Genomic DNA, 27,992 nt, shown 5'->3' on the forward strand with positions numbered 1-27,992 from the left:
GAAGATTTCCTTCAAACCTTTCGTTCTACCTTATCATTTTCTTTAAAGTTTTAAAAAATTGTTATTTATTTATTATTTATTTTTTTAAGACGGAGTTTCACTCTTGTTGCCCGGAGTATAATGGCGCGATCTCGGCTCACAGCAACCTCCATCTCCCGAGTTCAAGCGATTCTCCTGCCTCAGCCTCTCGAGTAGCTGGGATTACAGGCGTGCGCCACACGCCTGGCTATTTTTTTTTTTTTTTTTTTTTTTTTTTTTTTTTTGAGACGAGTCTCGCTCTGTCGCCCAGGCTGGAGTGCAGGGGCGCGATCTCGGCTCACTGCAATCTCCGCCTCCCGGGTTCAACCAATTCTCTGCCTCAGCCTCCCGAGTGGCTGGGATTACATACAGGTGCCAACCACCAAGCCCGGCTAATTTTTTTGTATTTTTAGTAGAGACGAGGTTTCATCATCTTGGCCAGGCTGGTCTTGAACTCCTGACCTTATGATCCACCCGCCTCGGCCTCCCAAAGTGCTAGGATTACAGGCGTGAGCCACCGCGCCCAGCCCACGGCTAATTTTTTTATTTTTAGTAGAGACGGGGGTTTCTACATGTTGGTCAGGCTGGTCTCGAACTCCGACCTCAGGGGATCCGCCCACTTCGGCCTCCCAAAGTGCTGTGATTACAGGCGTGAGCCACCGCGCCCGGCCCCCCCCCTTTTTTTTTTTTTTTAAAGGAACAGGACTTGATCTTAATTCTACAATTACTTTCTCCCATACTCCCACTCCCGCCCAGAACAAGATAGCGACAGGCCCTAGCGGGCCACCGTCCACAGGGCGGATCCGCCAGAAGCTCTCCTGCGACGCGAAGATCCACTCCCTGAGCCCCCGGCGCTCCCTCCGCCTCACTTCCTCCTCCAGGCTCCGCCCCGCGCCGGTGCGCCTGCGCACGGACGAACACGTGGCTGCAGCGGGGCCAGAGCAGCAATGGCGGCGGGCGGCGGCGGTAGCTGCGACCCCCTGGCCCCTGCTGGGGTCCCTTGCGCCTTCTCCCCGCACAGCCAGGCCTACTTCGCTTTGGCCTCTACCGACGGTCACTTACGAGTATGGGAGACGGCCAACAACCGGCTGCACCAGGAGTACGTGCCTTCCGCGCACCTCAGTGGTACCTGCACCTGTCTGGCCTGGGCGCCAGCGCGGCTGCAGGCCAAGGTAAAGCGAGCGGGACTGCGCGGGGCGGGCGCCTTCCCGGGCTCGGCTTCGGGCCTCCGGGCCGGGTGGCGCGTGGTCCGGCATCGCGCGTGGCTCTCAGCGGCCCGGGCCAGAAGGCTTGGAGGCGGCGTCGGCGCGTTCAGGGCCCAAGCCGCCAGCCCCGCGTGCGGCCTGCCGCGAGGGCAGTGAGGGAGGGCGCAGCTCGACCCGGCCGGCCTCGTATCCGAGCCCTGCCGGCTGGCCCAATGAGGCCTGGGCCCCACTGTTGACGGGCAGCCATGTTCGCCAAGTCCCCTGGTCCCCCTGGGGCGGCTTCCTTCTGCCGGGCCTTGGCTCATCAGAGTTCTGGTTTTTGACAGAGCCCCATCTTGGGACTATCTAACTTTCCTCTGTCTGTGATCCGGCTCATCAGTTTTGCACTGGGCAGTTGGTATGGACTAGTCTGTACTTGCTTCCGGACCTTCCCCCTCCTGCCCCCCCTTTGGGTGCCGGCTCACCACGTGTTCTCGTCCCCGTCCAGGTTGTGGGACTCTCAACTCTTAACTTTTGCCTTTCCCAGGCACCTCTACATTCTCAGCTTTTTGAACTCACTGCTTTTTGATTTTAACATCTGCTCGCCCCTCCCGCCCCGCTTTCAAGCCGATCACACTGCTCCCCACCCACCCCAATCTGAAGTCTGTATTAGGATGTGGAGGTTAAGTGAAGTAGTAGCTTGATTTAGTGAATGTTTTATGAGTGCAGATGAAATTACCCTTAGATGGAAAACTGCCGAGTTAGGCAGAGCTTTTCATTGTTAGGGACCCGTGTCAGGTAAATGCCTTTCACTGTTGAGTCACTCAGCTACATCTCTCTAACTCAGCATGCACGTGGTTATTGCGTTTACAGAGTAGCCAAACCGAATCACTGCAAAGTGATTTGGAAACATCAGGTATCCTGAGGTGTGTGATGTGAGCTGTTTCAATGTGGAGAACTGTAAAAGCTATTTAGGATCTTACTCTCTCTGACGACCTGGGAAGCCTGCTAAATTTTTGGGTTGGGAAAAGGGATACATATAAGTTGCTATACTTTGGGCATGTTTAGATATTTTTCAAATTTTAAGCTACATTTTCATAGTTTATCCTGTTGATTCATAAAATAAACCTATCAGGGCTTATAAGTCAAACATAAAACTAAAAAAAAAATCAGTTTTTATTGTTAAAATTACAGCGCTCTGCTTATCTTTTATTTTCAAAGTTTTCTGTGGTTGTATTTTAACAGTCCTGTAAAGTGATAGTAATACTAATGCTGAGAGAAATACGGAGCAGTGGTTAGGTAGGTGCGTGGACCCAAGCTGGCTATATTGTCTATATTTGATTCTAGCCTCTGCTTCATAGTGGTAATTGCCCCTCTGGTTCCTCATTTATGAAATGAGGATAATAATATCTTCTTCATAGAGTGGTTGTGAAGGTTAATATATTTAATAATGCAGAGAACACTTAGAATAGTTCTTGACAGGTAAGTGCTTTAAGTGTTAAGTATTATTAATATCTGATATTTGTGTGGTTAGTCCTGAAGTGTTGATAAGGAACTTTCTGCCTTGTTTCGGGGAAAGAAACAGAAACTCTGGGAAACTAAGCAACTTGAATAAAGTAAAAAATGGAACCAGGATTAGAACTCAGGTCCTTAAGAGCTCGGTTCTTGGTTATCTGCAACAGATAGTTAATATTAGGTTGGAAAAAATGTCACCCACTTTGCTTTTCTGTTGAGTTTCAGTTGCATTGTATGCCCAAGAGAAATTTCCTAATCTCATATTAAAAGTCATAGTTTTGGATTATGTGCAACACTATGGTAAACTAGAAAAATAACTGGATTTGGTTTCATAGCCCAGACTCAAAACTTACTTTGTCATATTGAGCAAGTTGTTTTAATTTTGAGGACCTCATTGACAAACGAGAGTTGAGCTACATTAAACAAAATTTTTTTCTAGGTTTCAGCATCGTTTTATCTGCACTGTCTCCTTTTAACCACATGACTATGGAATCCCCTGAAATTAATTGCATTTTAAAAAAACTGATTGAAAATCAGAGCTAAGAAAGGTAAATGACTTGACTCAAGCCTTAATAACCAATAAAGGAGTGTGGCCTCTAGAGTCATGGTGCCCCGAACTCCTGGTCAAGTGCCCCGATTTTGTTACTCTCAATCTTGAGTCACAGAACTGAGAGAGCTGGAAGGAATGTAGAGACATTCCCTACTTTGAGGGTGTGTCCTCTTGGAGCATCAGTTTGACTTATAAACTAAGGAGAGACAGTTTTCTTGTATTAAAACAAACTTGCACATATATTATGGTATAAAATTAAAAAGTCATATGTACTGTAACAAGATATCTTAGAAAAAAAAGGCACATGTTAAGGTGCTCTCATCTTATTAAACCCTTCCTTTTATTTTACATCTTTGAGGCTTAGTGTATGAGGCATGAAAAGGATGTTGCTCTGAACCCACTTTCCAGCATTTTGTTAAGGTCCTGCTATATGATGACATATAGTACTCTCAAATTTGAAATAGAGGTATCATCACCCACCTTTTAGGATCCTCAGGATCAAATTAGGCAATGTATGTGACTGGTGTAGTATGGCCTAGTATGTAATAAGTGGCTTAATAAATGTTATTATTGAGTGAATCTGGACTCGTTTTACCATTTAATTTGGCATTTAATATGGTAAATCAATTTGTAAGAAAAGTATTCTATGTTTGGTTTAGTAATTGGCAGTTTGCTACGCAAGGACAAAGTGTGGTGATGATAACTCATCAATGGAGAAAGATTAGTTAGTGCTGGGTTTCTTGGGTAACGGGTTAAGTTTGTGGTTCACAGGTGTTTAGAAAAATTAGATTGTCACCTCTTGTTGGTCACAGAATGATTACAATACTTTGCATTCGTGCCACAATAGTTTTTAGAGGGTTTTTGTACGTTATGTAGCTGAGCATTCCATTTGGTCTTTGGAGCCTGGGGGAAGAGGACCTTTAATGAGGACAAGAAGATAGGAAAGTGCAAAAATACAAATGGAGGGACTCTATCTAGATGGATGCTGTTTTTAAGAGTTCCTCAAGTTTATGTGTGTAAACTGAGGCAGAAATGTTAATTATATTCTCTACCAAAGCCACATAGTAAAGTGACTGAGCCACCTAGGAACTGATGCTGCTATTTGATTGTCTTCAAACTTTTGAAAGTCTTCCGACTTTTCTGCTTTTCCTTCTCTAACAGACCTTGTCTGCTATTGGCTATCACAGTAAATGTGTTTATACTGCTTTGCTGTCACTGCAATTAAGATGACCCTATACAGCTTAGTACTTGTTGAATGAAGCACATGGCATTTCAGACATTGGACAGGGTGTCTGAGTTGGGTATCTGCATTACCATCCCTTAGAGATGTAGGGCAGTTCACATGTGCTGTGCAGTGGTCTGTCTTGAGGTCTTGCTAACAGTTAAACTTCCTAAGAAGTAAAGGTTGCAGATAGATCTGATTGGCAGAAATAGAAGTTTCTGTGTATTAGGACTTAATTGATTTGTTATAAATACTGTATGTGATTTTTTGTAAAATGAATACATTTTGTTCACTGTTATCTGTGAAACACACATGCAGTGGCAGTGAGATAGATGAAGAAATGGATTAGGAGACTAATTGCAGAATGAAACTTGAAACTTGGCATACTTTTTGGTGTCTAGAGTTCAGTATTTCTCAGAGCAGATTTTGATCCATTAGTGGATTATGTAATAAACTTAGTGGATTGTAACATTAAAAAAAAAACAAAATAGAATGGAAAGTATCAGAGTACTACTAGCCGTGGGAAGTTTCTCTGTGAAGCTTGTTTCTATATGTGTATTTTTATGAGAGTGTAGTGACTGCATGTAAAACTCCTCTTTTTCTGGGATTTTAGTCTAAAAAGTCATTACTTTAATTGCTGTACAAATTCAGACTTCTCATCACCTGAATGTGCTTTTTTCTGTCTTCATCCCATCTGTACAACTCCTTGCTTTTATAAATTATGCACATGTGCCATTCAGATTCTCCCTCAGCCTTCTGATTGTTTCTGGATCAAATGCTGATGATGGATCAAATGCTGATAAGCTTTTCTCATAAGACAGGTTTCAGTATTCGTTGCTTAACTCAGTTTGCCCTTCATGGTGGAAAAGACTCCTTAGTCCGAGAAATCACCTCCTTGGGGTATTCACTTCTGATGCCTTCAGGAATTGAGATTTTCCAGTTACAAATATATAAACTAAATTTTTTAGCCTACCTTTTTATTACTTAATATATTTATCTGTATAATCTGTGCTGGGCACTTAAGAGGAAACACAACTGACTGTGACTAAAGTGTAAAAGAAGAAATACATTTCATATTTGCCGTGTCTAATGCAGGGTATGACATGTGTCTTAAGGGAAAGAAGTTTCCGTGGAGGAGGTGGTATTTGAGGTGGGCCTTAAAGCATGGATAGGATTTTTAACCAATGAAAATTGAGGTGAGTAGGAAAGGTCCCCTTCCAAGTGAAGGAAAAGCAAAAGCAAAATAGGAAAATGGGTGTATAGGGAGTGTTAACCTAAGGATGGAATTGGAGATAAGACTAGAGAAGGTGGGTTGAAGGCAAATTGTGGATGCTTTTAAATGCCATAGAACTGTTTATATTGATTTATTCTCTGGAGAGTCATTGAAGTTTTTTTGATCACAGGAATAACATGTTTAGATAGTAAATGCCAACAGAAGTTTCTCATCTATAATCAGTAGCACTAAACTCTTGGTTTGAAAAATATTTAGTATGGGTAATACTTGGAGTATCAGTTTTCATTAAAATGTACATTGGTTATATACACTTCTGGTCTGATGTGTTACCTTTTTAAATATGCTTATCCTGCTGAATAAAGACCATCCAACCTGAAAAATAAATGAGTCCTGAGTTCTTTAAGTTCAATAAATTGGAGTAATATTTAGGTTTAGACCAGTTATCCTTAAAGTTGGTCATAAATGCTGTAGATATTCCTTCCGCCTGCCCCTGCTTGCTTCTACCAAAAAATACAGAGATTTGCAGATGCAGAAATTAAGGCTTTGACTATGTTATGCTTGACATAGGCTATGTAAATTTCTAAAATTTCTTTGTGCTTTTTAATGGAAATTCAAATTGGCAATAAAGCATACGCATATTTGGACCTGTCTTTGTTTCACACATCGAGAAACTTCCATTTAGATAGTTTTTATTTGGGAAAACCAAGAGTAGAAGAAAGATTTCATGGAATCTTTTTTTCGTTTTGTTTTGTTTGAGATGAGTCTCTGTCGCCCAGGCTGGAGTGTAGTGGCAGGATCTCGGCTCACTGCAACCTCTGCCTCCCGGGTTCAAGCAATTCTCTGCCACCTGAGTAGTTGGGATTACTAGCGCCCACCACCACGCCCGGCTAATTTTTTTTGTATTTTTAGTAGAGACGGGGTTTCACCATGTTGGCCAGGCTGGTCTTGAACTCCTGACCTCGTGATCCACCTGCCTCAGCCTCCCAAAGTGCTGGGATTACAGGCGTGAGCCACCACACTCAGCCTTCTTGGAATCTTTTTAAAAAGATGAATCTTTTCCTGCTGAGATGGTACTAGGTTAATGTACTTCCCCCAACTCTCCTTGCCTGAAATAGGTGTTTGTATTTATAACCTTATACAGAAATTATTTTTGCCCCTGGAATCATTCAAAGGTAGCTTTAGAAATTCATGTAACTGAAACGGGGACCTAGAACACTCCTAAAATTGAGGTTTCAATGTTTCAACAAGTTAAATGAGACCATCAGACTTTGTACTTTGGCTTTTAATTGTAACTTCTCTTTTGTGTTTATTAGTACATTTCTAAGGACTTGCAAGATATATTTCTAAGGACTTGCAAGATGTGTATTATTTTTTTCTGTAAGTAGGTTACCTTTTTTTGTTAGACTGCATTTCATCTGTGTCCAATGAATCAAATTCTTTAAATGTAAAATCCCCCTAGGATAACTAAAAGAAAAAAATGGAAAGTGCTTTTTAAGTCTACTCCCTGACACTCTTTATGCACTGGTAACGTTGTGGTTGTCATTGGTTTTTCTTGAATTAAGACAGATTTTTAGGTGTCTTGGGCTGTGTGCATGCCCATGCGTGCTGTAGAGCTAAGATCCTGCACTATTAAGAAGATATTCTCTTTTCTATGGTATTGGCTTGTTTTACAGTGAAAGAATGGATTTCTCAGAACTTTATGCTAAAAACATATAGGCTGGTGAGCCGTAATTTAAAAAAACACGGAAGAGAAGTTCTGAAATCATAATAAATACTCAGCATTATAAACTGATGTAGTGCTTTTAAGTTAGGGTCATTGTCTTTTTGTTGGGAAGACATGAGCTGTTAACATCACTTTTGAAATGAAAGAAGTCTTGTGGCATTTGCCACTTGAGTGAGACTTTTGTCTCTGAAGTCACTGAATCACTGAGCCAGCCCTTGACCAGTCAGTGGGGCAACTTCTCTCTTGTGTGCTCTGAGCTGCTCTACTAGTTAAAGCTATTTGTTGACTCAAATTGAAGTTAATGCACGTTTATAAAGGTAAAAACTTTTGAGGCTCTTTTCTTGACAACTAAGCTAGAATTTGTGGAAAAATTAGGAGAGATAAAGGAGAGTTGGCTGCTTAGATATGGACTTACGGATTCATAGATTTTTGGGTATGAATCTCTTTGGTTGGGGAGTGAAGGCTTCGCTTAGGTTGGACCTGTCAGGAGGGGCGGCCTGTTTCTGAGAAGTGGAAACAGCATTGAGGCTTCTTGGACCTGTTAGGAGAGTACCAAGAACATACTAGGTTTTCCTATTTGCTGCCTTTTTTCCATAGGGGTGGGAGACGGGGGACATAGAATTACGAGTTTCTCTTCCCATTGGAGGGATTTCTTTTTGAAGTAGTGAGAAGTAAATCACCCAATAGCTTCTCTCTTCCCCCCTTTTAAAATGTCTTTTGTGGGCTGGTGGGCATTTGTATTTGTTCATTAACGATGTTTTAGTATTTGCAATACTAAATAAAAACATTGTTTTTCTTTTTTTCCAGGAAAGTCCCCAGAGGAAAAAAAGGAAATCAGAAGCTGTAGGAATGAGTAACCAGACTGACTTATTGGCTCTTGGCACAGCAGTTGGTAGCATTTTATTATACAGCACAGTAAAAGGAGAGTTACACAGTAAATTAATAGTAAGTGTGTGTATATTTTATTTAAAAGTGATGTGACAGGGAAGCTGATTATTAGAGATTATTAAAAAAAAAACACTTCAAGGTATGTGATGGGATCTGTGCAGTAGGGACAGTTTTCAGTCTCATCTACGTTTAAATAACTGAATAGTAATATTTGATAAAAGCTATAATAGTTAACAGCAGTCCTTATTATGGGTCAGAGTATGAAGACTTATTGACTAGGTTTAAAATAAGGAAGGGTTACAGGAACTCTAAGGAATCATAGATAGCAGCTGTGGAAAGCAGCTCCCCACCTCTTGACCTAGGGGAATAAAGGAGGCAGTTGAAATTACTGCTAACACTGAGATCTTTTAGGGGCAAGTGTTGTGCTGCTGTTGCTGTCTCTTGAAGAGTGGCCCCATGGGCATGGGATCGAGACTTCAAACTGAGAAGGAGGCTCCAGCTGCCTGGTGCTAGTGTCTCTGATGGAGATGATGAGATTGGTTCTCCTAGGGTTGGATAAATTGGATATTGGGTTCAGCTGCTGCTGTTGGGCATTACCACTGTTGGGGTGATGCAAATAAAGAGACAGGAAGGAACAAGTCCCTTCTCTCTCCATCCTTGTCTCCCTCTAGCAGTTGCTATTGGTAGAACCTATGGATCGAGCTGGGAAATCAGAAATCAGGTTGCTGAGTCCCAGCATCACAGCAGAATATAAAGGATGGTTTGGCATTGGAAGACAGTAACCGAACTGGTCTAGTAGGTTCAGACAATATCTATTGCAGTGTGTTTTTGTTCGCTGGACTTCTGTATATAGGAGTGTTTTAAGTTTTTTGTTTTAAATAACATTTGTCTATAGGAAATTTGTAACTACATAAAGTTGAAAAGGAAAAAAATTTATACCTAAGTCTGTCGCCGAGAGGTCCTCTTAATAATTTGTATATTTCTTTGCTTTATACATACATTAAAAAAATATAGTTGGCTTTCTGTTCATCTAGTTTGTATCCTGATTTTTTTCATTAGATTACAACATAACTATCTTATATTTGTCAATAACTGGTTATAGAGATTTTTAGTGACTGCTTAAAATCCCAACAAGTGGGATAGTCCATTATGTTACTTAACTTGTTGACCATTTAGGGGTTTCCAGATTTTTAAATTGTTGTAAAACAATTTCTTTTTCTTACATGGATTCACAGAATTACTAACCTAAAATTAGTGAGCCAAAGGGTTGCTATATATGTAGTATAAAAATACTTTCTGGAATAATTTTTACTAATTTATGCTTAATATCAGTGATAGGAGATAAGTACTTTATCTCAGCAGTATCATTACCACTACTGAATAGCCCAACAAAACAGCAACAACGACAACAAAGAAACAGCTAATTTGGTAGAGGAATATTTTAATCTGATTTTAAGTTTGCATTTAGGAATGTATTACTTGTTTTTATATTAAGATTACAAAAATAATACTCAACTATAAATGAATTTTAAAGCATTCAGAGATCCATCTCAAGAAAGCATTCTTCCCTATATTCTTCCCCCCTCCTCCAAGTCGAGTGTGGTCCTCAGGTGAGCTCTTACACCTACTATAGGTAGGAGCCTATCCTTTAATTGGATAGGTTTTTTGTGTTCAGCAGGTACCTAGCATCTTGTGCAGTGTGATAGCTGCTCAGCTGCTGTGGCTGCTGGAGCCTAGAAGACTTATTTTTTTTTAAAGACAGAGTCTCACTCTGTCGCCCAGGCTAGAGTGCAGTAGTGCGGTCTCAGCTCACTGCAACCTCTGCCTCCTGGGTTCAAGTGATTTTCGTGCCTCAGCCTCCTGAGTAGCTGGGATTACAGACGTGCACCACCATAGCTGGCTCATTTTTGTATTTTTAGTAGAGATGGGGTTTTGTCATGTTGGCCATGCTGGTGTCGAACTCCTGGCCTCGTGTGATCTGCCTGCTTGGCCTCCTAAAGTGCTGGGGTTACAGGCATGAGCCACCATACCCAGCCTAGAACTCCTTTTTATATCATTTCACAACCTTACAAGATTGTAAATACATCTTCGACAGGGATGAATTTATCAAAAAGGAGTCAAGAGGGTCAGGGTGAGGGGTACTGGGATGGTATGGTAAGGTGGAAAAGGACCAGGCTTTGGAGCTAGTCTGTCCTGAGGTTGAATCCTACTAGTTGTATGATCATGTGTGAATAATTTAACTTCTCATCCCTTAAATGGGTATTAACAGCCTACCTTGCATGATTTTATTAAGACTTAAATGTAATAATGTATTGAAAGTGCCTGGCTTGTAAGTGGTATTTAGTAAATATTTGTTGAATGAGTAAGTGAACAAGTGAGTGAACACATCGCTAAATTGCTTTCCAAAAGGGTATGCTAGTTTACACTGCTGCTGGCAATAGTATTATGTAACCTCACCAGCATGGGCATCATAAGGCTAAACACATTGCTACAGGAACAGACTAAAAATGCCACTTTGTTTTGGTTTGTATTTCTTTGATTACTAACAAGGTTGAATATTTTGGTATATTTTCTAACTGAATTCTTTCTGTGGAATGTATCTGTTCATATCCTTTAGTTACTTGCGTGTATATAAGACTTAGTTCTTGGAGTACACAGCTGATAGGAAGGAAGGAAAGTAACTGAATGTAACATTTTAAAATATTTTTCTTTTGAAGTGGTAACAATGTTATTTCCAAGTAGCTTTAGTAATTTTGAGTAATCACTTTTATTCTTAGCTTAGATATGTACATAGTGGTGTTTCATTGTATACGTATTTACTTTATTCCTGCAAGATTTTAATACATAAAGCTAAAAATGGTACAAAAGTAAAGTAACTGTAGGAGAGATGTCACAAGATAGCATGTGACTATTTGTCAGATGAGTTCCAGCAGTGTTGGGAAGGCCTGGAGGAGAAGTGATTTCATTTGGACCTTCTGGGATAGGTAAGATTTGGATAGAGGAGGGTGGAGAATCCTTTCAAGGGTGGGGAGAGGAAGTTGGGGAGATGGCAAGAGCAAATGAGGGGAGACAGGAATGGGAGACAGTAATGTAAAAGATTGACTTGGCACTGAGCAAACTAATTCAGAGGAGGGGCATACTAGGGGATAATGGATAATGGATAAATGTGACTTCAGGTAGAAAGAATGAAATGCTTGCAGTGTGGGTGATTTAGCACCTCATTCTGCTAAGTGAGTTAGTCCTGGAATGTTTGTGAGATGGGAAACATGAATGAGCTCTTCTCAGTTTCTATTCCTACGTGCCTCTTAGTGAGTGGGCATCTTGCTATGCTGTAAATGTATAAGTATTGTTTATATGCTATGGCCCCATAGTACAAGGAAGCATTTAGTGTTTACCTGAAGTAACAGTGATTTTTGTTTTGAGACATAGCTTTGGTACATTTTTTTACAAGAGATTTTTCGAGGATATTTTTGACTATACTTGATTTTTACCTTAAATGCTGACTTGGGGTGTGGAAGTAGTTTATTTATTTATTTTTAAACAGGAGAAGGAAAGTTAACATTTTGAAATTCTAGCTGTTTATCTCTCTCTTCTTCTCTTTTTTTTTTTTTTTTTGATATGGAGTTTCACTGTTGTTGCCCAGGCTGGAGGCAATGGCGCAATCTTGGCTCACTGCAACCTCTGCCTCTCAGGTTCACATGATTCTCCTGCCTCAGCCTCTCAGGTAGCTGGGATTACAGGCATGTGCTACCACACCCGGCTAATTTTGTATTTTTTTAGTAAAGATGGGAGTTTTGCCATGTTGGTCAGGCTGGTCCTGACCTCAGGTGATCCGCCTGCCTCAGCCTCCCAAAGTGCTGGGATTACAGGCGTGAGCCACCACGCCTGCCCTGTTTATCTCATTTATGATGTTGGAAAACTCAAATGGATAGATAAAGGTTAAAGCTTTTAGTTAGGTTAAGGCCTAACATTTTAGTTAATTATTTGGTAATGACTCTAGGGTTCATATTATCATAATATGTAAGACAAGTTTTATTTTCTTCTTAAATTTTTTTTTATACACCATAAATATATTCATTTTCATTTGTCAGTTAAAAAAAAGAAGAGTTGACTCCTACCTCTACATATTATTAACTACATCTCTAACATGGTCGCCTCTATTTGCCTTTCACATCCTCTGCCAATGACTGGCCTCAGATCACCAGTGGAACCTTTTCAAAAAATACACCATTGGCTCTATGTAGTTCTACTGATCTGAAATATCCACGTGTGGGCCAGGAGCACTGGCTCATGCCTGTAATCCCAGCATCTTGGGAGAGCGAGGAAGGAGGATCATTTGAGCCCAGGAGTTTGAGACCAGCCTTAAATTTTTTTTTTTTTTTTAATCTACAGAGTGGTGGACATGACAACAGAGTCAACTGCATACAGTGGCATCAAGACAGTGGCTGTTTATATAGTTGTTCAGATGATAAACATATTGTGGAATGGAACGTACAGACATGCAAAGTAAAGTGGTGAGTAACATTCATGGTATCAGGAAATGCAATAGACGTGGATAAATGCTGGACTTGTGGGGAATGCAGACATTAATAAGGTTATAGGTTCCATTTACAAAGAACTTTTAATCAAATCGAGCATGCAAGATTTTAATACATAAAATACTAAAACACATAAAATACATAAAAGCTAAAAATGGTACAAAAATAAAGCAACTGTATGAGAGATGTCACAAGGTAGCATGTGACTATTTGTCAGCCGAGTACAGTAGTGTTGGGAAGGCCTGGAGGAGGAGAAGGGATTTCAGTTGGACCTTCTAGGACAGGTAAGATTTGGATAGAGGAGGGTGGGAGAATGCTTTCAAGGGTGGAGAAAAGAAGTTGGGGAGATGGCAAGAACAAATGGAGGGAGACAGGAATGTAAAAGATTGACTTGGCACAGAGCAAACTAATTCAGAGGAGGGACATACTAGGGGATAATGGATGGCAGATGATATGGGTCAAAGGATCCTAAGAGCCTGGCCTTGTGTCATAGATAAAGATTATAGACCATTGATTATAGTTCAACCACCTGATCCTGAGGTTGGCCGTATAGGAGATGCTTAGTAAATGTGGGCTGTTGAATATAGTTCCACCTACTGTGTAGTTGAGGACCCTCATGAGGAAAATGATGCCCATGGTCCTGCAGCTGCCAGAGAAGGGATTCTAATGCTGCTCTTTTTAGTTCTGGTACAGTTGGGATTTTAGATTCTGTCTGGTATGCAAGAGAGAGCCATTGGCCAAGTGCAGTGGCTCATGCCTGTAATCCCAGCACTTTGGGAGGCCAAGGTGGGAGGATTGCTTGAGACCAGACTGAACAACATAGTGAGAACCACCTCTTTACAAAAAAAAAAAAAAAAAAAAAATTGGGTGTGGTGGCATGCATGGCCTGTGGCCCCAGATACGAGTCTGAAGTGGGAGGATTGCTTGAGCCTGGGAGGTTGAGGCTGTAGTGAGCCATGATTGTGCCACTGCACTTCAGCCTGGGTGATGGAGCAAGACGCTGTCTCAAAAAAAAAAAGGCTGGGCTTGGTGGCTCACGCCTGTAATCCCAGCACTTTGGGAGGCCAAGGCGGGAGGATCATGAGGTCAGGAGACTGAGACCATCCTGGCTAACATGGGGTACCATCTCTACTACAAAGACAAAAAAAATTAGCTGGGCGTGGTGGCGGGCCTCTGTAGTCCCAGCTACTCGGGAGGCTGAGGCAGGAGAATGGCGTGAACCCGGGAGGCGGAGCTTGTAGTGAGCCAAGATCACGCCACTGCACTCCAGCCTGGGCGACAGAGCGAGACTCCGTCTCAAAAAAAAAAAGCCACTGCAGGTCAGTGTCTCTGGGATAGAGTATTCAGAGTAATGCTTTAGGAAAAAGTAATCTGTCAGCAATGTGTAGAGTTTAGGGGAAGGAGCTAGTTAAAGGCAGAGAAGGCAGATAGATTGTTACTGTAATCTGGTTGTAGGATGGTAAGTGTGGGAAGTTAAAATGGGAATGATCGCAATCATTGAGTTGGGATATTGAGTTTAGTTTTCAGCTTTGCTAACTAGGCAAGTAAACCAATTTAGAGGGAGGAGGTACTAGGGGGATAATGCATGGTAGAGGATAGAAATTATGGTCAGAAGAGATACATGGTTTTGGGGTTTTTAGACAAGTTGGCTTTGAAATAACATTATGTGAAAGATAAGACCCAGCAGACAGGGTGGTGCTAGAGGCTTAGATTTAAGTAGGGGTTTGGGGTTGGAGATGCAGGTAAGTAAACCATCTCCCTGATGGCTCAGTGAGTATTTGTGCTCCATTTACTTGTAGCAGACACAGTAGTTTCTATGTTAGTAACCTGTTAGAAATGCCTGCAGAGGTTCTGATCCAGTAGGTCTGGGGTAGGGCCTGTGTTACTGTATTCTGGATGAGAGGTCACAAAGATAGGTCCTTCACATAGGGACTAGTAATGTTCAAAGAGCCATTCAACACGTGTGCGTTTTATTGTATGTAATCATAAGCCTGTGAGGTGAACTTTAGCCCCACTTTGCTGTTTTGAAGTAGATTAAACAAGAGCCTGACCTCTCATACACTAAACTGTGTTGTCTCATAATTTCATTATGTTTCCAGCTTCATCGTTAGCATTCTTACGCTGCCGTTACTTGGATTTTGTTTTCTGTTCCAGACGCTATGTATTGATTTTCTGTTGTGGAAGATGAGGATTTAGCTCTTACCTTCTTTTCCCCCTTCCAGTTCTCTCAATATTGTTGTATCACAGTGTTTGATAAGCAGAATTTGTTTACATTATGACTAGTTAATTATTGTTACAGCTGAGCCTTAGACTTTCCTATGTTTAATATTTTTTTTTGTACAAAATTTTGCTTTTCTTGGGGTTTATAATTGCTTGGTTTTCATTTCATTAGTTACTAGGTCATTCTCTATTAGTGGTATAAATCTTCTCAGTTGTTTCTGGACACATCAGTCAGTCAATTTTATTCATTTCTTGGAAAACTTCTCTGTCTTGTAAGTTCTGCTGAATGATGATTATCCCGAGATTTTTTTTCTTTTCTTTCTTTTTCTTGAGATGGAGTTTCGCTCTTGTTGCCCAGCCTGGATTGCAATGGCGCGATCTCAGCTCACTGCAACCTCTGCCTCCCGGAATCAAGCGATTCTTCTGCCTCAGCTTCCCGAGTAGCTGGGATTATGGGCACCTGCCACCATGCCTGGCTAATTTTTTATTTTTAGTAGAGGTTTCAGCATGTTGGTCAGGCTGGTCTCGAACTCCTGACCTCAGGTGATCCACCCGCCTCGGCCTCCCAAAGTGCTGGGATTACAGGTGTGAGCTACCATGCCTAGCCATGAATTATCTTCTTTTGTTCCTTACATCCTGTCTATTGTGAGTGTGTTTTGATTTGTTTGATTTGGCCTCTTTTATGTTTAAGGCATCCTTCAAATCACTGGAGATCCTGAGCTGCCTGTTGCTATTTGGAAACAAAGCATTAAAAAGCTGATTGGTGGCTGGGCGTGGTGGCTTATGCCTAAAATCTCAGCACTTTGGAAGGCTGAGGTGGAAGGATTGCTTGAGCTTAGGAGTTCGAGACTGTCCTGGGAAACATAGTGAGAACCCCCTCTCTACAAAAATGAAAAAAATTAGCCAGATGTGGTGGTGTGTACCTGTAGTCCCAGCCACCTGAGAGGCTGGGGCAGGAGGGTCACTTGAGCTCAGGAGATCGAGGCTGCAGCAAGCTGTTACCTTGCCACTGCACTCTGCCTGGGCAACACAGTGAGACCCTGTTTGGGGGAAAAAGTATTGATTGGAAGGCTTGGTTGTGAGTGTGTGACTTTTCAATTGTTGTGCTTCATTTATAGAGTGATTGGGAAGCCGTCAAATGCCAATATGTGTATATCATTCCACTGGAACCAGTTACATTTCCCAGAGAGGAATTTTTTCATCTAGTGCTTCTTAAGGCTTAAATGTACATACATCTTAACTTGTGCATACAGATCTGATTTAGTAGGTGTAACTAGGTTAGAGCTTGAGAGTGCATAATTCTCACAAGTTCCCAGATCATGCTGATTTATGCTTTGAGTTACAAAGCTCCTGAGGGATTAGGGTGTGGGGAGGATAGAAGGTATTATTAGCCTAACTAGCATTTTCAATACTGAGTGGGGAAGTAGATGAAGGAAGCTTATCAGCCTCGTCTAGGCAGGATGGCGATTGTGTCTTTTATATATGTATCAACGTAGTAAGTATATGTTGAATATTGAATGTAAATGAGAATTGAAGCTGTGGGAATCGATAAATTGGCAAAAATTTCAGAAGCTGGTAAGGGTAAAGGAAAAGTTCTCTCGTACATTATAGCTGCATTTCTTTGATTATCAGTGAGGTTGAATTTCGTGTTTATCAACAATTTGTATTTTTCCTATGAATTGCCTGTTTAGTTGTTTATATCCTTTGTCTGTTTTTATTTTGAGCTCTTTTTCTTATTGATATGAAGGAGCTATTTGTGTATTGTGAGTATTAATCCTTTGTAATATATATTTTTGATACTTTTTTCTAGCTTTTTACATATATATACAGATAACGTGCGTGTGTGTGTGTAAATATATATATATATATAATTATTATTTTTATTTTTTTTGAGATAGGGTCTCACTCCGTCACCCAGGTGGAGTGCAGCAGTGGTGTCTCAGCTCACTGTAAACTCTGCCTCCGGGGTTCAAGCAATCCTCCTGTCTCAGCCTCCCGAGTACCTGGGATTGCAAGTGTTTGCCACCAGCCCTGGCTAATTTTTGTATTTTTAGTAGAGACAAGGTTTCACCATGTTGTTCAGGCTGGTCTTGAACTCCTGGCCTCAAGTGATGCACCTGCCTTGGCCTCCCAAAGTGCTGGGATTACAGATGTGAGCCACTGCGCCTGGCCACTTTTTACTTATATTTTAATTTTATGACTTATTTGTGGAGCAGAAGTTTTATGTAATTAAATCAGGTCTTTTTTTTTTTCTTTATAATTTCTGGTTTGTAATTGCTGTGGAAGACCTTTCTTAACCCCAGGATTATAAAAACATTCTCATACCCTGTTTAAATACTTTTAAATTTAATCAGTTAATTTTTTTGCATGTGTGGCATAATGTAGGAATCTAATTTTGTTTTTCTAATGACTGATTTGACTTACTCCATTGTTGACTGGCAGAACCATACGTTTTCTTCCACTTAATAACCTCTTTTTTTTTTTTTGAGACGGAGTCTTGCTCTGTTGCCCAGGCTGGAGTACAGTGGTGCAATCTCAGCTCACTGCAAGCTCCGCCTCCCAGGTTCACGCCATTCTCCTGCCTCAGCCTCCTGAGTAGCTGGGACTATAGGCGTCCTCCATCATGCCTGGCTAATTTTTTTGAATTTTTAGTAGAGACAGGGTTTCACCATGTTAGCCAGGATGGTCTCGATCTCCTGACCTTGTGATCCGCCCACCTCGGCTTCCCAAAGTGCTGGGATTACAGGCATGAGCCACCGCGCCCAGCCTCTTAATAACCTCTTTTGTTATTCAGGTTCCTACTGTTACTTGCCTTTTTTTTTTGGAGACAGAGTCTTGCTCTGTCACCCAGGCTGGAGTGCAGTGGTGCGATCTTGGCTCATTGCAGTCTCTGCCTCCTGGGCTCAAGCGATCCTACCATCTCAGCCTCCAGAGTAGCTGGGACTACTACACCATGCCTGGCTAATTTTTGTAGTTTTTGTAGAGTCAGGGTCTCGCTGTATTGCCCAGACTGGTCTCGAACTCCTGGACTCAGGCGATCTGCCCACCTCAATCTCCCAAAGTGCTGGGATTAGAGGCATGAGCCACCATGCCCTGCCCCTGCTGTTACTTCTTATAAGTGAATAGCCAAGTTCCCTATTGCCTATGACAGCATTAATATGAGTAACAAACAGCAAAGACTCCAGCTTCTAATCATATTTGAGGTAGTGAAAAGGAGTCATTTGTACCTAATTAATTTTTACCTGTCAGATTGGGGTACATTCATGTGGATTTAGGGTAGAAATAACCTTTTTGGGTTGCAACTTTAGAGAAATCGTTTGTGTTATTAAGGGAATTAATTAAAGGCCAGCCTTCCAGAGAAAGCGAGAATTGAGGTAGGGTTAGGATGGGCTTGGGGAGGTCTAGCCAGTATGGAACTTTCCTGGACATTCGCAAAGTTCATCTCCTGGGTCACAGGATGTACAACTACCCATTTTACATTCTTATCACTCTCACTCACTCATTTTCTGATACTTGTTGAGAATCTTTATCCCATGCCTGCCAAAGGGAGATTGTGCTGTGTTAAGGAATGCAATCAATGAAGCTTTTATCACAGTAGTATGTCCAGGGTTAGTTACCTGACACAAGCTTTTAGGGAATGTAATTGTCACAGGACCTGAGGCGATATTTTTAATGATTGTTCAGTTTGTTTTTTTGTTATTTTCTGCTCTGAGTAAAGTTTTCTCTCATGTATTGAGATGCTTTTTTTTCTCTTCACAATATAGCAAATGGAAAGGCGACAATAGCAGTGTCAGTTCCCTATGTATCAGCCCAGATGGAAAGATGTTGCTTTCAGCTGGTCGAACAATCAAACTATGGGTTTTGGAGACCAAAGAAGTCTACAGGGTGAGCGAATCAAATTATTTGTAAGCATAAAAATTATAGAGTAAACACAGAGAAAGGCAGAAGTTTGAACCATAAGATATTATTTTAAGAATACAAATTCTTCATTGTCAGGTACATCAAATAGTTTAGTGGATAAAAGTTAGCCTCCTAATCTGATTTGTTGATGTTAAAGAGACTAGACATGTCTACTTCAAACGTATTGGAAAAATGAACAGAACCAATATTCAAGAAACAAGATTTTTTTTTTTTTTTTTTTTTTTGAGATGGAGTCTCACTCTGTCACCCAGGCTGGAGTGCAGTGGCGTGATCTCGGCTCACTGCAAGCTCCGCCTCCCAGGTTCACCGCCATTCTCCTGCCTCAGCCTCCCGAGTAGCTGGGACTACAGGCGCCCGCCACCACGCGTGGCTAATTTTTTGTATTTTTTAGTAGAGACAGGGTTTCACCGTGTTAGCTATGATGGTCTCGATCTCCTGGCCTCGTGATCTGCCTGCCTCGGCCTCCCAAAGTGTTGGGATTACAGGCGTGAGCCACCGCGCCCAGCCGAAACAAGGTTTTTTTAAAATTTAAATTTTATTATATACACCAACTATGTATCCACAAAAAAGAAAGTTACCTTTTAAAAAACAAAACAGATTTTGACACAGGGTCTCTCTCTGTCGCCCAGGCTGGACTGCAGTGACGCCATCATAGCTCATTGCAGCCTTGACCTCCCAGGCTCAAGCGATGTCTCACCTCAGCCTCCTGAGTAGCTGGGAGTATAGGCGCTTGCCACCAGGCCTAGCTCAAAAAAGATTTTCTTAATAAAAAAGTTTTTACTATGTGATGATTATGGTAATTTTGATTTCTAGCCTACATCCAGCATTTAGTCCACTTACTGTATTTGACTGTGGAGATTTAGTATTATATTTTTGGAGGAGGAAAAAGCTTTCACTCAGGGCTTACGGAATATTTGGTGCTGTGATGATGCCTTAATATTGTGGTTTCGACTCACTGAGAGTAAAATGAGGACCTACAATTCCTTGGCTGTGTCTGAGCACCCAAAGTATGCCTTTTAAAATGGATAGAATTAAGTGAATCTTTAATTCAAGAATGTAAGAAACAAAGGTGCGGAGTGGTAGGGTCATGGGAGTTAGAAGGAACATCTAAATTTTCAGTATTTTCAGATGGATTTTTTTAAAAAGTGGGAGAATTATAGCACAAATAACCTTATTTGCTTAGAATTGAATTGAACAGTTACTTCATCGTGGAGCTCTCCTTTCCGATATGTATCACATATGGCTTGTTTTGATAATATATACTATTAATTTTTGTCCCTGCTTTGAATCTGCTCTCCTAACTGAGATTTAACTTTCTCTAGCATTTCACAGGACATGCAACGCCAGTTTCGTCACTGATGTTCACTACCATCAGACCTCCTAATGAGAGCCAGCCCTTTGATGGAATTACAGGTCTTTATTTCTTATCTGGAGCAGTACATGACCGGTTACTTAATGTCTGGTATGTAGTTCTTTTGGATTTGGGAGGTAGCATTGAAAGAATCTGTCAGAGCTTATGTAGTTAATGTAAATTATGAATATGGGACTTTATTTGTTGTATCTAATGTTGGATTTACATTGAGTCATAATAAAAAATTGAGCCTGCCTACAAAACAGATCTTTCTGAGAAAAAATTAAGTGCATTATGTATTAAAGCCTCCTGTGGTTGTTTAGTGATACAGTGGACTGAACATTTCTGTGGTTGGGCAATTTAGAATATCTTTTAAAAAATTTAGAAAGACCTTTGATTTTGAAATATATGGCACCACTGGGTTAATGCAGTAGTGTCTGTTTATGGAGGGCATAAAATTGCTTGGCTGTCTCAGAATTTCCAGTAACTCCTTTTTGCAGTAGCTGCTATTAACTAGTTCCCTTTGAAACCTCTTTTAAAAGTAAAAATCAGGCCGGGTGCCGTGGCTCATGCCTGTCATCCCAGCACTTTGGGAGGCCGAGGCGGGCGGATCACGAGGTGAAGAGATCGAGATCATCCTGGCCAACATGGTGAAACCCTGTCTCTACTAAAAATACAAAAATTAGCCGGGCATGGTGGCGCACGCCTGTAGTCCCAGCTACTCGGGAGGCTGAGGCAGGAGAATTGCTTGGACTCAGGAGGCGGAGGTTGCAGTGAGCCGAGATCCCGCCACTGCACTCTAGCCTGGCGACAGAGCGAAACTCCATCTCAAAAAATAAAAAATTTGGTGATACAAAGTCATCAAAAAGTTTTTAAAGAAATTTCCTGGATTTTATTGCAGCATCTGATGGTGAAGTTGGCTTGAAAAAAAAACCACCTTGCTGTTTATGGACAGTTCTCATCTTAGTAATAATTAGTTGAGCATGCTCTTCACCATATAAAGTTACTATGAATTTATACAAGATAATACTCATTTAGAAGTGGGACTCATCCAATATGTATTCCTTAAAAAGGTAGTTGTGTGGGGGTCAGAAGTCAAAATGTGGGCCTCTGTTTACCTTCAAAACCACCAGCAAAACCATAATTCCTAATTATGTCTCTTGTAATTAAACGGATTTGGTTTTGTTTCGTGTTTGATTTTTGAGAAGAGCCAATGGAGATAAATTCTTTTAGTTTTAGAGGGTCTAACAATTACATAAGAAATCAGTAGTGCTAAAAAATTAAAATCTACTACCAGGGTCCCCTGGCATTATTGAGTTGCTTCAATCTCAAATGTTTTACCGCTTAGGCTTCCTCATACCTAGGAGTCTCCAGCTACAAAATTTCATTAAATAAAATAAAAGTTGCTTTATGTTAATCTTAAGAACCTGAATAGTGTCTATTATATGTGGGTGCTTCCTGGAATAAAGGAAGTAAACTTAAAATTAACCACACACACAAAAGGAAAATGTTAAAACCCATATTGAAAAGCTGCCCAATGAGCTGTGTAAATTTGCATGGGGATAGGTAGAGCGGGCCTAAAGTTCCCTGATAATTTCCTTTGAAAGACACATTTCTGTGGATATAACATTCGAAGGCTTCTTGCTGAATGAAGATTAAAAGATAAATCAAACCCCAGTACTATCTTCTATTGATTGGTTAAGATACTGTGCAGTGGTCTGATGGCAGAGATTTTGAGCATACATGAATGACTTCATGTTAGAATGAATGTTACTAAGAATTTTTGCATGAAAACATTTATAATTTATCAGATCAACTCTTAATTTTCTTCTGAACTCCAAAGAAGCTGATTTGAATCATGTTTGTAAATCATGTTTGTTAAGTATTATTTTTTAAAATTTGTACCTAAATTTTAAAAACAGCTATATTGAAGTATAGTTGACATGTAATGAACTGCACATACCAGAGTGTACAAACTGATGAGTTGTAACATACATATACATTGTGAAACCCTCACCACAAACAAGATAATGAATGTGTTTCCTCATGTCTTCTTGTAATCTCTCAGAGACTTGTTGACAGGTTTTGGGCCATTACAAATACAATTGCTATGGACATTTTTTGTGTACAAGTCTTTATATGGACATGTGATTTCATTTCTTTTGGGTAAATACCTAGGAGTGTAATGGCTGGATCATGATAGGTGTACGTTTAGCTTTTCAAGACATTGCCAGATTTTTTTTTCAAGATGGTTGTAGCATTTTGCATTTTTACCAGCAGTGTATAAAAATGAAAATTCCTTCACATCCTCATCAACACTTGGTATAGCATTTAATTTTAGCCATTCTAATAGGTGGGTAGTGGTATTTTGTGTTGTTAAATTGGCTTTCTCTAATGGCTGGGATGTTAAGATTCATGTTTTTGCATTATGGATATCCAGGGATCCCAGTATCATTTGTTGAAAAGATTATCTCTGCTGACTTGGTTTTGCATATACCTCTCCCCCTATAACCCCGAACACCTACACACACCCACACATCCCTGCACCCACACGCTTATCCCTATATCGGTTCTCGTTATTTATAATTGTTAAGTCCTATAAAGTCCCCATGAACACTGATTTAGTCAATAACATTACTCCTTGGGGAAATAGCTTAGGTTCCCATGAGCCTCCAGTTGTAACATTTTTTTCATCTATTTATTTTTTTGTTTATATTATTTATATTGTAAAGGTAGCCAGCTTGTAACATTTTTGTCATTAATATATAAAACCTTGTTTTATGTTTGTTTCTATTTAAAGATATCTTATTTAATGCATATGTTTTTGATTGATTAACTTTGAATTCAGAGCACTACAACTCATGTCTGAGTGAAGCTTATTTAACACATATTTTCACTGTAAGGCACATCCCAGTCTTCTTGTGCTTAGGAACACCATAGAGCACTTCAGAATTATGCTTGGGGGCCGTTGTAATTAGTGAAATCTCCAAGAAAGCACAAAAATGCAAAAAACATGGTGCTAGGTGAACTACTTGTTGATAGTATGAGAACGGCAACGGGAAGGCAGAATGTAGCTACCTTAGCTGAAGACATTGAATGTGTTAGGCAACTCAGATTTTTCGCTAGTCTACACCCCTGAAGGAGCATAAAATTGTTACAGTGATTTTGAGGTTACAAATAAAATTTTGCAAAAGATGACTTTGCAAATAAGGAATCCATGAATAATGACAATCAACTGCATATGTGTGTATATATAGGTCTGTTTCTGTGCTCTTTACTCAATACCGTTATAATGTTAATTCTCCCCAAATTGACCTACAGATTCAACGCAGACGCATTCAAAATCTTAGGCTTTTTTTGAGAAATTGACAGACTGATTCTAAAATTCAAATGGAAATAACAAATGACAATAGGCAAAATCATTTTGAAAAAGAAGAAAATCATTGGAAGACTAAGATTGATTTCAAGACCTATTATCAAGCGGCACTAATCATGACAGTGTGGTATTAGTGTCAGGATAGACAGACAGATCAATAGAAAAAAACAGAATGTTACTCATTGTTTAAATCTGCCACAAATGCATTATTGCTTTCTCTTTTCTCAAGCAACCATGTTATATGGTAGTGACATGGATGCTTCCGTTGTTTTGATCTTTAGTCACTTTACTAGTTTTCAAAAGATGACAAAGCTATTGGGAATCTCATGTGCTGATCTCCATGCCTCCTTAGGTGTTTGCCTTTTTAGGAAGAAAATTAAATCTGTCTTGCTATCTAACTTGCTGGTTTTGTTATCTAGGCAGGTCCGATCAGAAAACAAAGAAAAGAGTGCAGTGATGTCATTTACAGTTACCGATGAACCTGTCTATATTGACTTAACTTTGTCAGAAAACAAAGAAGAGGTAAATGGCTCGATTTTTGAGAATTTGTTTTTGGGTTTCACAGATGTTATTTTTACAGTCAAGGTTTTGATGATTTAATGACTTGAGAAATAGAGAGGACCTGAGGGAGTAACAACAAACTGTAACAAATTTTAGACTGTTCAAAGGAACTTAAATCACTGTAATAATCTCTTATGGGGGAAGGGAAAAGTTTGTACAGGACGGTAGTAAATTCAGGAATTCATTATGTGAATTAAGAAAAGTTGTTCAGGTGGATTTTGTTACTAGGAGTATGTATATATGATTCTTTAATCAGATGAAATTGTTGGTGATAGCTCCTAACTAAGGTGTGTGTGTGTGTGTGTGTGTGTATTTCTTTTTTTATCTCTTTTTTTCTTTTTTCATTTTTTTGAGACGGAGTTTCGCTCTTGTTGCCCAGGCTGGAGTGCAATGGCACGGTCGCGACTAACCACGACCTCTGCCTCCCGGGTTCAAGCAACTCTCCTGCCTCAGCCTCCCGAGTAGCTGGGATTACAGGCATGTGCCACCATGCCTGGCTAATTTTGTATTTTTTAGTAGAGATGGGGTTTCTCCATTTTGGTCAGGCTGGTCTCGAACTCCCCACCTCAGGTGATCCGCCCACCTCAGCCTCCCAAAGTGCTGGGATTACAGGTGTGAGCCACCATGCCCAGCCTATATATGTATGTATTTTATAAGAGTGATGTCCTCTTGTTTGCTGCCTATAAAAAAAGAATTTTTCATGTAAAAATTAGGGATTCGATGATTAAAGGATTAAACCTGTTGTCATTGAAGTGCTTGCTGTTTCTGTTTAACTGAAGCTTTGCAGGATTTTGATTTGCACAGAATCCCACGTTTCTAATGCAAGTTAAGGATATTCACTTTTAACTCAATTTAGTTTTGAAATGCATATTTTGCATTAACCTCTAGGATTTAGAGATGATCATCATGTTTTAATACTTTAAAAAAGTGTTTCAGGGGAAAAAGCATTGGTTTAAAACAAAAAAAATTTTGGTTTAATGTTTCTGGCTGGGTGTGGTGGATAACTTGAGCCCAGGAGTTCAGGACCTGCCTGGACAACATAGTGAGACCCTGTCTCTACAAAAAATAAAAAAGTTAGCTGTGCATGGTGGCATGCACTGGTGGTCCCACATACTTGGGAGGCTGTGGTGGGAAGATTGCCTGAGCCTGGGAGGTCGAAGCTGTAGTGAGCTATGATCCTGCCACTGCATTCCAGCCTGGGTGACAGTGAGACCCCGTCTCAGTAAATAAGTAAATAAATACATATAGCTTCTGTTGCTAATAAACTTGGCTTTCTAATATGAAATGGGGGCCATTGATGATCAGATCAGTGATTCCCTATAAAGATTTTTGTCTTTAAGAAAAGTAGTAGGGGCTGGGCGCTGTGGCTCACACCTGTAATCCCAGCACTTTGGGAGGCCGAGGCAGGTGGATCATGAGGTCAGGAGATCGAGACCACGGTGAAACCCTGTCTCTACTAAAAATACAAAAAATTAGCCGGGGCTGGTGGCGGGCGCCTGTAGTCCCAGCTACTCGGGAGGCTGAGGCAGGAGAATGCCGTGAACCTGGGAGGTGGAGCTTGCAGTGAGCCGAGATAGTGCCACTGCACTCCAGCCTGGGTGACAGAGCGAGACTCCGTCTCAAAAAAAAAAACAAACTAGTAGGAATCCTACACTTAATTACAATAATGATTTAATGTTATTATAAAGTTGGACATGCTTGTGTACATTCAGTGTGATCAGTGCCCTCACTATTCTGATAATTGGATATTCTGATCGTAGGGAACTGATGAGAAACATTTTGGTATTTTCCCCTATAACTTTATTTTTATTTTATTTTATTTTTTTTGGAGACAGAGTCTCTGTCGCCCAGGCTGGAGTGCAGTGGTGCAGTCTTGGCTCACTGCAACTTCTGTCCCCTGGGTTCAAGCAGTTCTCTTGCCTCAGCCTCCCTGGTAGCTGGAATTATAGACTGCGCTACCATGCCTGGCGAATTTTTGTACTTTAGTAGAGACAGGGTTTTGCCATGTTGGCCAGCCTGGTTTCAAACTCCTGGCCTTGAGTCTTGAGTGATCCGCCTGTCTCGGCCTCCCAAAGTGCTGTAATTACAGGTGTGAGCCACCGTGCCTGGCCCCCTGTGACTGTAAAATAAAGAGATTGATTTAACTTGAAGTGACTTTCTGAAAAAATAAAAATAAATTTTTTTTCTTTCTTTTTTTTTTTTTTTTTTTGAGACAGAGTCTTGCTCTGTCACCCAGGCTGGAGTGTAGTGGTGCGATCTCAGCTCACTGCAATCTCTGCTTCCCAGGTTCAAATGATCCTTCTGCCTCAATATCCCAAGTAGCTGGGATTACAGGTGCATATCACCACGCCTGGCTAATTTTTGTGTTTTTCTAGTAGAGATGGGGTTTTGCCATGTTGGGAAGGCTGGTCTTGAACTCCTGACCTCAAGTGATCTGCCCACCTTGGCCTCCCAAAGTGCTAGGATTACAGGCATAAGCCACCCCACTCAACCAAAAGTTTTAAACCTTTATTTGTGTGTGTGCGATTTTTAGAGGTAGGTTCTTTAAGTCTAAATACAAGTAATTTATGGAAGAAAAATCACTTTCCTTGGAGTAGCAAAACTTGCCACTAGTCTATGTAGAGAATAGACTGAGGGATTTTTTTTGTTTGTTTTTGTTTTTGAGACAGTCTCCCTCTGTCAGCCAGGCTGGAGTGCAGTGGTGTGATCTCAGCTCACTGCAAACTCTGCCTCCCAGGTTCGAGCATTTCTTCTGTCTCAGCCTCCTGGGTAGCTGGTACTACAGGCACGCACCATCACGCCCGGCTAATTTTTGTATTTTTAGCAGAGATGGGGTTTCACCATGTTGGCCAGGCTGGTCTTGAACTCCTGACCTCAGGTGTTCTGCCCACCTTGGCCTCACAAAGTGCTGGGATTACAGGTGTGAGCCATTGTGCCTGGGCAAGACTGAATTTTTACTTTCTCTTTTTCTGACTGAATTCTGTTGCTACTTTTAGATTTAACTTTAGGTTTGATTCAGAGTTTATCTTGGAATACTATTGGCATTATATTTAAAATTATTGATAATAAAGAAGGGAGCAGAACTTTTTAAAAAAAATTTTTTTTTTTTTTTGAGACGGAGTCTTGCTTTGTCGCCAGGCTGGAGTGCAGTGGCACAATCTCAGCTCACTGCAACCTCTGCCTCCCGGGTTCAAGCGATTCTCCTGCCTCAGCCTCCTGAGTAGCTGGGACTACAGGTGCATGCCACCATGCCCAGCTAATTTTTGTATTTTTAGTAGAGACAGGGTTTCACCATGTTGGCCAGGATGGTCTTGATCTCTTGACCTTGTGATCGGCCTGCCTCGGCCTCCCAAAGTGCTGGGTTTACAGGTGTGAGCCACTGTGCCCAGCCTTTTAAATGATTTTTTAAGATATTAAACTAGGAATGATGGATCAGGAAGCCAAGTTCTAATTCTGGCACTTCATGTAAGATTGTAGTTAACAGCAGTAAGTTAGAATTAAAATTCCAAAACAAAACTTTGATTATGATATTGCAGAATAATCTGCTTATTTTATTCTCAAAAGTTACCAACCTTTCTATAGACAGTTAGAGATTAGATTTGGATGCCTGTCAGTTGGAGTTGCAGAACGGGGAACTAGAAAATTTGATGGCGGAGAAATGATCTCTTCCCCTAAACTTTTTCTTTTTCTT

General features: G+C 40.7%; 1 protein-coding gene and 1 non-coding gene across 2 annotated transcripts in view, besides 7 other annotated features; both read left to right on the forward strand.

The window, feature by feature from the left end:
* Positions 918 to 997: a silencer, noted in NCBI's record as "silent region_11315". NCBI's record gives its function as "represses an Ori minimal core promoter by ATAC-STARR-seq in GM12878 lymphoblastoid cells {active_cell/tissue: GM12878}" and the evidence as "EXISTENCE:reporter gene assay evidence [ECO:0000049][PMID:35858748]".
* WDR43 (WD repeat domain 43) overlaps positions 934 to 27,992 on the forward strand; it is a 53,553-nt gene continuing 26,494 nt past the window's right edge. Inside the window, exons 1-6 of the mRNA NM_015131.3 lie at positions 934 to 1,190; positions 8,254 to 8,391; positions 12,727 to 12,848; positions 18,857 to 18,977; positions 20,336 to 20,475; positions 24,160 to 24,262. Of these exons, the coding sequence (NP_055946.1) occupies positions 966 to 1,190; positions 8,254 to 8,391; positions 12,727 to 12,848; positions 18,857 to 18,977; positions 20,336 to 20,475; positions 24,160 to 24,262 (849 nt within the window). The 5' untranslated portion in view covers positions 934 to 965. The remainder of the gene's footprint in view (positions 1,191 to 8,253; positions 8,392 to 12,726; positions 12,849 to 18,856; positions 18,978 to 20,335; positions 20,476 to 24,159; positions 24,263 to 27,992) is intronic.
* Positions 1,078 to 1,701: an enhancer, noted in NCBI's record as "H3K27ac hESC enhancer chr2:29117677-29118300 (GRCh37/hg19 assembly coordinates)". NCBI's record gives its function as "activates a minimal SCP1, AML or CMV promoter by ChIP-STARR-seq in primed H9 embryonic stem cells {active_cell/tissue: H9 hESC(primed)}" and the evidence as "EXISTENCE:reporter gene assay evidence [ECO:0000049][PMID:30033119]".
* Positions 1,138 to 1,197: a silencer, noted in NCBI's record as "silent region_11316". NCBI's record gives its function as "represses an Ori minimal core promoter by ATAC-STARR-seq in GM12878 lymphoblastoid cells {active_cell/tissue: GM12878}" and the evidence as "EXISTENCE:reporter gene assay evidence [ECO:0000049][PMID:35858748]".
* Positions 1,238 to 1,287: a silencer, noted in NCBI's record as "silent region_11317". NCBI's record gives its function as "represses an Ori minimal core promoter by ATAC-STARR-seq in GM12878 lymphoblastoid cells {active_cell/tissue: GM12878}" and the evidence as "EXISTENCE:reporter gene assay evidence [ECO:0000049][PMID:35858748]".
* Positions 1,308 to 1,427: a silencer, noted in NCBI's record as "silent region_11318". NCBI's record gives its function as "represses an Ori minimal core promoter by ATAC-STARR-seq in GM12878 lymphoblastoid cells {active_cell/tissue: GM12878}" and the evidence as "EXISTENCE:reporter gene assay evidence [ECO:0000049][PMID:35858748]".
* Positions 1,528 to 1,627: an enhancer, noted in NCBI's record as "active region_15528". NCBI's record gives its function as "activates an Ori minimal core promoter by ATAC-STARR-seq in GM12878 lymphoblastoid cells {active_cell/tissue: GM12878}" and the evidence as "EXISTENCE:reporter gene assay evidence [ECO:0000049][PMID:35858748]".
* Positions 1,702 to 2,323: an enhancer, noted in NCBI's record as "H3K27ac hESC enhancer chr2:29118301-29118922 (GRCh37/hg19 assembly coordinates)". NCBI's record gives its function as "activates a minimal SCP1, AML or CMV promoter by ChIP-STARR-seq in primed H9 embryonic stem cells {active_cell/tissue: H9 hESC(primed)}" and the evidence as "EXISTENCE:reporter gene assay evidence [ECO:0000049][PMID:30033119]".
* On the forward strand, positions 19,929 to 20,017 carry SNORD92 (small nucleolar RNA, C/D box 92). Its single transcript, NR_003074.1, has one exon. It is a non-coding gene; the product is annotated as a small nucleolar RNA, C/D box 92 (small nucleolar RNA).

The sequence above is a fragment of the Homo sapiens genome, chromosome 2 (assembly GCF_000001405.40).
Source record: "Homo sapiens chromosome 2, GRCh38.p14 Primary Assembly".
Lineage (NCBI taxonomy): Eukaryota > Metazoa > Chordata > Mammalia > Primates > Hominidae > Homo > Homo sapiens.